At 42.8% G+C, this 10,658-nt stretch overlaps 1 annotated feature.

Annotated features, from left to right (window-relative positions):
- Positions 1,412–2,611: an enhancer, noted in NCBI's record as "P300/CBP strongly-dependent group 1 enhancer chr6:14001334-14002533 (GRCh37/hg19 assembly coordinates)". NCBI's record gives its function as "activates an origin of replication core promoter dependent on BRD2, BRD4, P300/CBP, MED14 and CDK7 cofactors, with strong dependence on P300/CBP, by STARR-seq in HCT116 cells {active_cell/tissue: HCT116}" and the evidence as "EXISTENCE:reporter gene assay evidence [ECO:0000049][PMID:35650434]".

The raw sequence follows: 10,658 nt of genomic DNA, 5'->3' as shown, positions 1-10,658 counted from the left end.
AGATTTCTTTCCCAACGTGGATATATATATATATATATATATATATATATATATATATACATGCTCCCTTTGTGTCCAGCATGGGTGGGTTCTTGGTCTCACTAACTTCAAGAATGAAGCCACGGACCCTCACGGTGAGCATTACAGTTCTTAAAGGTGGTATATCCAAAGTTCGTTCCTTTTGAGGTTCGGATATATCAGGAGTTTCATTCGTTAATTGGTGGTTGGGGGGGTTCAGTGGTCCCGCTTGCTCACGAGTAGAGCTACAGACCTTCCAGATGAAAGTTACAGCTCTTAAGTATAAGAGTCTGAAGTTGTTCCTTCTTCCCAGTAGGTTCAGTGGTTTTACTAACTTCAAGAGTGAAACTACAAGACCTTTCCCAAAAATACTACAGCTCAAAAAAAGCAGTACGTACCCCCCACAACCAGCAGCAACAAAACTTACCAAAAACAATTAATAAACAAACCTGTCACACGGTAGAAGAGAACCCAAAAGAGTTACCACTGTGGCATGGGGCAGCCTACTTTTATTTTTTTATTTGGCCCCCCCCCCCCCACATCCTGCTGATTGGTCCATTTTACAGAAAACCAATTGGTCTGCTTTACAGAGAGCTGATTGGTCCGTTTTGACAGGGTGCTGATTGGTGCATTTACAATCCCTGAGCTAGACACAAAAGTTCTCCACCTCCCCACTGGATTAGCTAGATACAGAGTGTCCATTGGTGCATTCACAAACCCTGAGCTAGACACAGAGTGCTGATTGGTGTGTTTACAAACCTTGAGCTAGATACAGAGTGCTGATTGGTGTATTTACAATCCCTTAGCTAGACATAAAGATTCTCCAAGTCCCCACCAGACTCAGGAGCCCAGCTGGCTTCACCCAGTTGCTACCCCAGTGGGGCTGCAGGTGGAGCTGTCTGCCAGTCCTGGCCGTGCACCCACACTCCTCACCGCTTGGGCAGTCGATGGGACTGGGAGCCGTGGAGCGGGGACGGCACACGTCTGAGAGGCTAGGGCCGCGCAGGAGCCCACCGCGGGCGGGCGGGAGGGAGACTCAGGCATGGCAGGTTGCAGCTCCCGAGTTCTGCCCCGTGGGGAGGCAGCTAAGGCCCAGCGAGAAATCGAGCACAGCAACTGCTGGCCCAGGTGCTAAGCTCCTCACTGCCTGGGGCCAGCGGGGCTGGCCGGCCGCTCCGACTGCGGGGCCTAGCCAAGCCGACGCCCATCCAGAACTTGCGCTGGCCTGCAAGCACCGCGCGCAGCCCCGGTTCCCGCCCGCGCCTCTCCCTCCACATCTCACCACAAGCTGAGGGAGCCGGCTCCGGCCTTGGCTAGCCCGGAAAGGGGCTCCCACAGTGCAGCGGTGGGCTGAAGGGCTCCTCAAGCGCGGCCAGAGTGGGCACCAAAGCGAGGAGGCGCCGAGAGCGAGCCAGGGCTGCCAGCCCGCTGTCACCTCTCACCTTCAGCAGTCTCCGTGGAACACGTCCAGTGATGGGACCTCACTGTTCTCGGGGCAACACCTTCCGTTACTTGAATAGCTCCAATTATTACACTTCATGTAGTACCAAGCTTTTGTAATACAGTTATTAGTAAAACCGACTAACGTTAAACTTCACCATTTTTTTTCTTTAAAGTTCTATTTTGCATTCAATAAAAGGGTGCTGTGTGGAAAAGCATGCATGCATCTGCCTCTTGGCCCATAATCAAGGCACCATCATTCACCTGGGGCAGCAAAAGTATGAGGCACTTGGATGGAAATAAACAGCCTCTGAGTTTTGACCTTGCTGATGGTGGTGAGCGCACACTTCACCCTCGCTTCTGTGGTTAGCAGGGCCTTCTGCCCAACGGTGTCCACCAAGAACAAATCAATGCTAACAGGCTGGCCGACTGAGTCATAAGAAGCACAATTCATGAGTGAGAAGCACAGCATCTTCCCTTCCTGCCACAAAAGGGCAGGGAAAGAAGTGGAGCCGTGAGTCATACAGCAGCGCTGGTCATGGGAAGATCCCACCAGAGTTGTCAAGCGGCCAGGAGAGACATCTCCTTTGATATGTTCCGTTACATTCCTTTTTCTCCAACCAGCCATATTTGAGGAGAGATTAACAGCTAGACTCCCTTCAGTCCAATTCAACAAGGATTTGTTGTGTATACGCTGACCATTTTCCCCGAGGGGAATGACTGCAGTGATGAAGCTGATTAATTCTTATGAGCCAGCTGGGAGGAGGTGCTTGGGGGCTAATGACTCATGATCAGAGATCAATGCTTTGGGGAGAGGTGGCAAACAGACCTCATTTCCAGAATGCCTGGCTCCGGATGTGGATGAGAAATTCAGTCTCTGCTCTGTAACGTGGCCTCCTTCCAATATTTAGTGACGAGATCAGGCCACTTCATTGGAGGAAGCAGATTCTGTGTTTCCACCCCCCGGGGCTGTTAATATTCTGAGACCCTCTCTGCTGGGTGCATCTAGACTTCTTGTCTCACACATTCACATTTAGTTAAACCCAATAAATGTTTACCAAGTGCTGTTTCCTCTGGACAGCCCCATGCTGTAGAAGTTACAAAAGTAAGACCCAATGCACTAAAGGAGCTTGGGGAGAACACAAGACAATTACGCTCTCCTGGCTTGCTAGCAGCAGCTCAGAGGCAATGCTGCTGCTTTTCCCCATGGGAATCAGTATCCTAGGCTCACATCCTGGCACTGGTAAGTGCTTGCTGTGGAGCACGAGACAAACTTCTAAGATGGACTTCATAAAACTTGACAAACTGATTTAGAAATTCATAGCAAAAGCAAAATATTGGGATGAGCAGAAACAAATTTACTCTTTGTAGTTTTGTTTTGTTTTTTGAGACAGGGTCTTGCGATGTTGCTCAGAACTGCTGGGCTCAAGCGATTCTCCCATCTCAGCCTCCTGAATAGCTGGGACTACAGGAGCATGCCACCAAGCCCAGGTAACATCGTTTTAAAGGAGACAGTCAGGTTAGGGGTCTCTTACTGCAAGATATCAGATTAATAGCTGCATGAAGCTCCTGTGATTAACACTGGGGAGTCATCACAGAACCGAACGAGTAGAACAATGACACAGAAGAGAAAGCCAGAAAACTCACACCAACCTGAAAACTTGGTAAGTGACAGGTGATGTTACAGACCAAGAAGTACTGGAGATTCCAAAAATAGCTGATGCTATTGATTATTTCCATAAAAATTAATTTCTTACTTCAAAGTTATGAGTCATTATTAGGGCTGTTCACCCAATGCACCAACTGTATCTGCCTTCTGGGCCCAGGATGGGGTTGTACCTCTTTGTCCCCTCTGAAGCTAGACCTGGTCCCTGTGACTTGCTTTGGCTGCTGAAACTGATCAGAAGAAATGTGTGTTACCTTCAAGCAGAACCAAAGCGCCATGTATATGACTCTCCACACCCCCTCCTTGCTGCAGGCATTTCAGATGCCCCTGTCTAGAAAAGCATCCTTCAACCTGCATCCCTCAGGGACTCTGATGAGCAGAGACGCCTGCAAACCCACAGTGGACATGCAGTTTGTATAAATGAGACACAACTTGGGGTTAAACCTCTGCGATTTGGGGTTGTTTCTTTGGTATAACCTAGTCTGTCCTACCTAATACAAAATAAACAACTCCAGGTGATTAAAGACCTGCATATAGAAATGTGTAAAATTTGAGGAAATGATATAGGCAAATTTGATAACCTCAGAGTATAGCAGGATTTCTTTTAAAGTTTTTAAACTTATAAACCATGAAGGAAAAGATGAATGCATTTGACTGCATCAAATTTGAAGTCTTCATTTCACCAATAAACACTACAAATTGAAAAGACAAGCCACAAGCTGGAAATGATATTTGCAGTGTGTCTAACTGACAAAAGATGAGCAAACAGCTCACACAATAATACCCTGAAGACCAATGAGGAAAAGACAAACAAGCCAAAAGAAAAATGAGCAAATTACATGAAAAAACAAGAAACATATGGAAAAACTGCTGAAATCAGTTAATAATTGGGGAAATGCAAATTAAAGCAATTTAAACCATTCCACACCCATCAGTTTGGTAAAAAATTAAAATTTGATAATACCCAGGATTGTCAAGAACATAAAGAAACAGAAACTGGTTTTGGGTGTTTGTTTGAGACAGGATCTCGCTCTGTCATCAAGGCTGATGATCTCGGCTCACTGCAGCCTTAACATCCCAGGCTCAGGCCATCCTCACGCCTCAGGCCCCTGAGTAGCTGGGACTACAGGTGTTAGCCACCTCACCAGGCTAATTTTTGTATTTTTTGTAGAGCCAGAATTTTGGCATGTTTCCCAGACTGGTCTCAAACTCCTGGGCTCAAGCAATCCTCACATCTTGGCCTCTGAAAGTGCTGGGATTACAGGTGTGAGCCACTGCGCCTGGCCCTGAAACTGTTTTGATAACATTGGTGGAAGTGAAAGGTTGGAAAAACCACATTTGTGGTATATGCAATGGAATACCACACAGCTACTTGTGTCAACATGGATAAATCTCAAAAACATAACGTGAAACAACAACAAAAACAATCATGTTACAGAAAGTTGTGTGGTATATGTACCATTTACACAAAGTTAGAAATCACCTACACTTTAGTAAATACATACGTAGTAAGGCAATACAGTGCACAGAAGAATGATAAATAACTCTGAAGAGAGAGGATAACAGGGTAAGAAAGGGGTACAAAGTTAATTATTAAGAGAAATAAACTAATATAGCACAACTTTTGACTGAGATTGGATATAGCTGGGAGGTAAGCTCATTATGCTGTTTTCTGTAATTTTCCATTTATATACTTTTTTTCATTCATAATTTCCCAAGGCCTCTGGTATATTAATAGTTTGGGTATTTGTCCCCTCCAAACCTCATATTGAAATTTGATCCCTGATGTTGGAGGTGGAGCCTGGTGGGAGGTATTTGGGTCATGAGGTGGATCCCTTATAATGGCTTGGTGCCATTCTTGTGGCATTGAGTGAGCTCTCACTCTAGTTCCTGTGAGATCTGGATGTTGAAGAGTCTGGCACCGCCCTCCCCTATCTCTTTTCCTTCCTCTCTTGCCACATGATGCCTGCTCCCTTTCTTCTTTGTCAGAGTGGAAGCTCCCTGAAGCCCTCCCCAGAAGCCAATGCCGGCACCATGCTTCTTGTACAGTCTGCAGAACTATGAGCCAAATAAACCTCTTTTCTTTGTAGATTACCCAGCCTCAGGTATTTCCTTTATAGCAACAAAAACAAACTAAGCTTCATAATGAGCAAATTGCAAGATGAACCCCAGATATTCTAATTAAATTGGTCTGGTGTGTGGCCTGGGTAGGAACGGTATTTAAAGCTTCCAAGTGATTCTTATCTGCAGTCAAGGCAAAAAACCACTGCATTAGGAGAAATGCAGGGAAGAACCCAGGTTTTAGAATCGGCCAGCTGTGGGGAAGAATCCCAGGTCTGCCACTGTTTTGTAAGCTTGGCCAACCGCACAATCAGTGTTTCCATCAGTACAATGGGGTAATAATACCTATTTTGTTGAATTGCTAGAAGAATTACAAAATAGTGATGTGTGTGAATTACCCAGTGTAGTATCTGACTTATCACACTAATAAGTAATTTTTCTCCTTGGGGTTGATGTATACAATTCTGATGTATTTTCTTGAAGTAAAACTTCATTACTCTATGGTATGATCTTACAAGAAACGAACAACAAACAGATTGCTTAGGTCCTAGGAGTGGGCTGAACATCTCAACACCGTCTCCCACCCGATGCCCCAGTCTCCCTTCTCTCTTCTCCAACCCACTTACTATATTCTAGAACAGCTTATAATCCTGCTGCTTTCTCAGCCCATCTTATTGAAATGTGTGCTTGTTATTTTGAAAGCCATAATTGCATGTTTACACCCAAAACACAGCTCTTCATCCAACGATTTGGTCTGTTGGATTCTCAACATTTCTTTTTAACTGGTATCATTATCTCAATGTGTCAAATAATACCACTGAAGTGATGAATGGAAAATGCTTTTTCTTTTTTTAATTCTTTACAATAGAAGGAAAGATGCCATATTACCAAGCCACAGTCTTTTAAACTACTTTGCTCAGAATTAGACTTCTCTTAACCTCAGAAGAACAGGCTCTGTTTTCAAGGTCTACTGATGTTGCATATCATGTATTACAAAAATAATTTTAGGCTGGGAGCAGTGGCTCATGCCTGTAATCCCAGCGCTTTGGGAGGCCGAGATGGGCAGATCACAAGGTCAGGAGTTTGAGACCAGCCTGGCCAACATAGTGAAACCCCATCTCTACTAAAAATATAAAAAAATTAGCTGGGCGCAGTGGCGGGCACATGTAATCCCAGCTACTCAGGAGGCTGAGGCAGGAGAATCGCCTGAACCCAGGAGGTAGAGGCTGCAGTGAGCTGAGATAGCACCACTGTACTCCAGCCCAGGCAACAGTGCAAGACTCCGTCTTAAAAAATAATAATAATAAATAAGTAAATAAAAACAATTTTAAATACTCATCATTTTCAAAACAACCTACTAATTTTTCAAATCTCCCCTTTATGTGTTTGAGAAAAGGGTTGATGAGGAGTTTAGGTATCCGAGAGAGAGGACTGTAACCATATAGCCTATCGGGGGACTGTGCTGACCAGGTGCCATTCTGTGTCTTAAGCAAACATTCACTGTGTGTCTACCTTATACTAGATGTGAGAGACAAGCAATGCGTAAGACATAGCTTCTATGCACAAGACACTCGCAATAGATTTCTGATGAAAAGATACAGGCTTGAAAACTCATAAGACAGTAAATGATTTAAGGCTAGTAAATCATTTACAATTTACAAATCATTACATAGAGGCAATACCTGTGGGAATTCTGTGAAAAGAGAGACCATGGCAGTTGGTGTGGTGAGGAGACAGTTGGGGTAGGGGATGGTGCCTGATCTGAGCATCGAAGGATGAATGGTCTGTGCTATGGTTTGAGTGCTTGTCCTCTCTCAAACTACTGTTGAAACTTAATCCCCAATGTGGCTGTACTGAGAGGTGGGACCTTTAAGAGGTAATTGGGTCATGAGGGTCAGCCCTTATAAATAGATTGATCCATTCATGGACTAATGGGTTAATGAATGAATGGGTTATCATAGGAGTGGGACTGGTGGCTTTAAAGAAGAGGAAGAGAGACCTGAGCCAGCACTCTCAGCCCCCTCACCATGTGATGCTCTGCACCATCTTGGGACTCTGGAGAGAGTGCCCACCAGCAAGCAGGAAGGCCCTAGCCAAATATAGCACCTTGACCTTGGACTTAGCCCTCATAATGTAAGAAATAAATTCCTTTTCTTTACAAATTACCCAGTTTCTAACACAGGAACAGGAAGCCAAACACTGCATGTTCTCACTCTTAAATGGTAGTTGAGCAATGAGAACTCATGGACACAGAGAGGGGAATGACACACTGGGGTCTGTCGGGGGACGGGGAGGGGAGAGAGAGCATCAGGACAAACAGCTAATGCATGCGAGGCTTAAAACCTAGATGATGGGTTGATAGGTGCAGCAAACCACCATGGCACACGTATACCTATGGAACAAACCTGCACGTTCTGCGCATGTATCCCGGAACTTAAAGTAAAATAAAAATAAAAATAAATTTAAAAAACACAAATTACCCAGTTTTAGGTATTACGTTATAAGCAACAGAAAACAAAGTCTGGCAGACCCTGAAGTTTCTCCCCAAAGTCATTCCCCCATTCCCGATGGCTTTCAGATCCCCAATTTTGTTTAGACATCAATGTGCCCACTTCTGGAAATAAATCATGTCTATAACAACCCTGATGCCTGCAACTGATGGACCTGGGGATGGGTTTAAGGTCTACTTCTGCCCACTTGAATTCTGGGAAATATTTTCTTGCCTTTTGCTCCCACTCCCTTTCTTTCTGCCTGGATTCCTGTCCTATGAAGACGTAACTTTTTTTCTTTTCTTTTCTTTTTCTTTTTTTTTTTTTTGAGACAGAGTCTCACTCTACCGCCAGGCTGGAGTGCAGTGGCACCATCTCAGTTCACTGTAACATCCGACTCCCTGGTTCAAGTGATTCTCCTGCCTCAGCCTCCCGAGTAGCTGTGATTACAGGCACGCGCCACCACACCCAGCTAATTTTTGTATTTTTAGTAGAGACGGAGTTTCATCATGTTGGCCAGGGTGGTCTCAATCTCTTGACCTTCTGATCCACCGGCCTCAGCCTCCTAAAGTGCTGGGGTTACAGGCGTGAGCCACCACGCCTGGCCAAGACATGACTCTTAAAGCTGAATCAGCCTTCTAGTGAACATATGGGAGATACCACCAAAACTATGAAGATGACAAAAATACAAAGAGGAACAAGTGTGGGCCATTGGTAACACTGAAGAGCCATTCTGTCCATCCTACGACTGTCCACTACCAAATTTTCTGTTATGTGAAATAACTATGTCTTTATTATTTAAGTTGCTCTGGTTGGCTATTTCATTACTAATGCAGGTGAGTCAGGCATTCCAAGGATAACAGCAAAAGCTAATAGCATGTTTGGGGGACAATGAATAGACAAATTTGACTGGACTGGAATACAGGGCTCGATAAAGGGAATATACATTAATCTAAGGAATAAAGCAGTCAACCAGACAGACCTGGGATCCAATCCTGGCTTAGTCATTTATTATCTGTGTGATTGTGGGCAAGTTACTCCAGTTCTCCACATCTAGTATTCACATCTGAAAAAATGGAGACACCTCTACCTTGTAGTGTTATTGTCATACACTTGTAAATAGTAGGTGCTCAATAAATGACAGCACTATTATTTGAAGAGAAAGCTGAGAAGTTAGGTTGAAGCCAAAATCTGGAGGCTTTTGGCTACCAGGCTAAAGAGCTCAAACTCAATCTTATTGATAATAGGAAGTCCTTGAAGGTTTGCATTTTGCAGCTTTTAATATTATCTATATGTTTATTTTAAAATTATTAATGTTAGCTAGATTAACACAAATTCTCACACTAAAGGCCTATCTACCCCAGTTCTCATCACATAATACAAAATGTCCAGCTTCCAACTGAACTACCAAAATTCACATGAGAAAACCTAGATAACCTGAATAACCCTATATCTACTAAAGAAATTGTATCAATAATTATAGCCTCCCAAAAGAGAAAGCACTAGGTTCAGATGGTTTTCTGGTTAATTCTACAAAACATTTAAAGAAGAAATCATACCAATTATCTACAATCTCTAGCAGAAAACAGAAGCAGAGGGAACACTTCCTAAGTCATTCAGTGAGGCCAGTATTACCCAAATAACAGAACCAGATAAAGATGTTACAAGAAGGAAAAACTACAGACCAATATGTCTCATGAACATAGATGGAAAAACCCTCAACAAAATATTAGCAGATCAAATCCAACAATACATAAAAATTATACACCATAACCAAGTGGGATTTACTCCAGGTATACAAGACTGGTTCAGCATTTGGAAATCAATCAATGTAATCCACTATATCAACAGGCAAAAGAAGGAAAATCATATGATACTATCAACTGAATTGGAAAAAGCATTTGACAAAATCCAACACTCATTTATGATAAAAACTCAGGAAATAAGGAAAAAGGGGAATTACCTGAACTTGATAGCGAGCATCTATAAGGCAAAATTCTATGGAGCATCACACCTGATGCTGAAAGGCTGAATGCTTTCTCCTACAAACAGAGGTACACAAATGCAGACAACTGATCTTTCACAAAGGAGCAAAGACTATCCCTTTCTCCTACAAATGGAGGTACACAAATACAGACAACCGATCTTTCACAGAGGAGCAAAGGCAATTCCGTGGAGAAAAGGATAGTCCCCTCCATGATGTTGGAACCACTGGATGTCCATATATCAAAAGCTGAACCTATATACAGACCTCAAACTTCTCCCAATAATTAAATTAAAATGAAACATAGACTTAACTGTAAAGAAAGGGAAGAGAACAAAGGAGAAAAGAAAGAAAGAAAGAAAAAGAAAGAGAGAGAGAGAGAAGAAGGAAGGAAGAAAGAAAGAAGGAAGGAAAGAAAGAAGGGAGAAAGAAAACAAGGGAGAAAACCCAGGCAACCTTAAGTTTGGTGATAAACTTCAGATACAACACAAAAACCACAATCCACAAAAAAAGGTGATAAATTCGATTTTATTAAAAATTGACAAACTGGACTTTAATATTTTCTTCTCTGAAAAAGACATTGTTAAGTAAATGAAATGATCAGCCACGGTCTAGGAGAAGATATTTGCAAAACATATCTCTGATAAAAGGCTTGCACCTAGAATATACAAAGAACTCTTAAAACTCAATAAAAATCAAACAACCTGATTAACAAATAGGCAAAATATCTGAACAGACACCTCACCAAAGGAGATATATATCTATATCTATCTATCTATCTATATAGAACTTCTTGTAGTTCCCAAAGTAAGAAAGTGCTCAAAAAGAAAAACAATATAAAAATCCACCATGATTAGCACGTGTCAAAAGGAAATACAAGCCAACTGAAAAACTTCTCAATGGCCAAAGCTGGAAGAATTTCAGCAACAAAATAAATAAAGTAGTACTGGATTATATCGCAAAGTATAAAATGTGTACCCATGAGTCCATGTTGAAATAA

The sequence above is a fragment of the Homo sapiens genome, chromosome 6 (genome assembly GCF_000001405.40).
Source record: "Homo sapiens chromosome 6, GRCh38.p14 Primary Assembly".
Lineage (NCBI taxonomy): Eukaryota > Metazoa > Chordata > Mammalia > Primates > Hominidae > Homo > Homo sapiens.
This window is presented reverse-complemented; position numbering and strand designations above follow the sequence as displayed.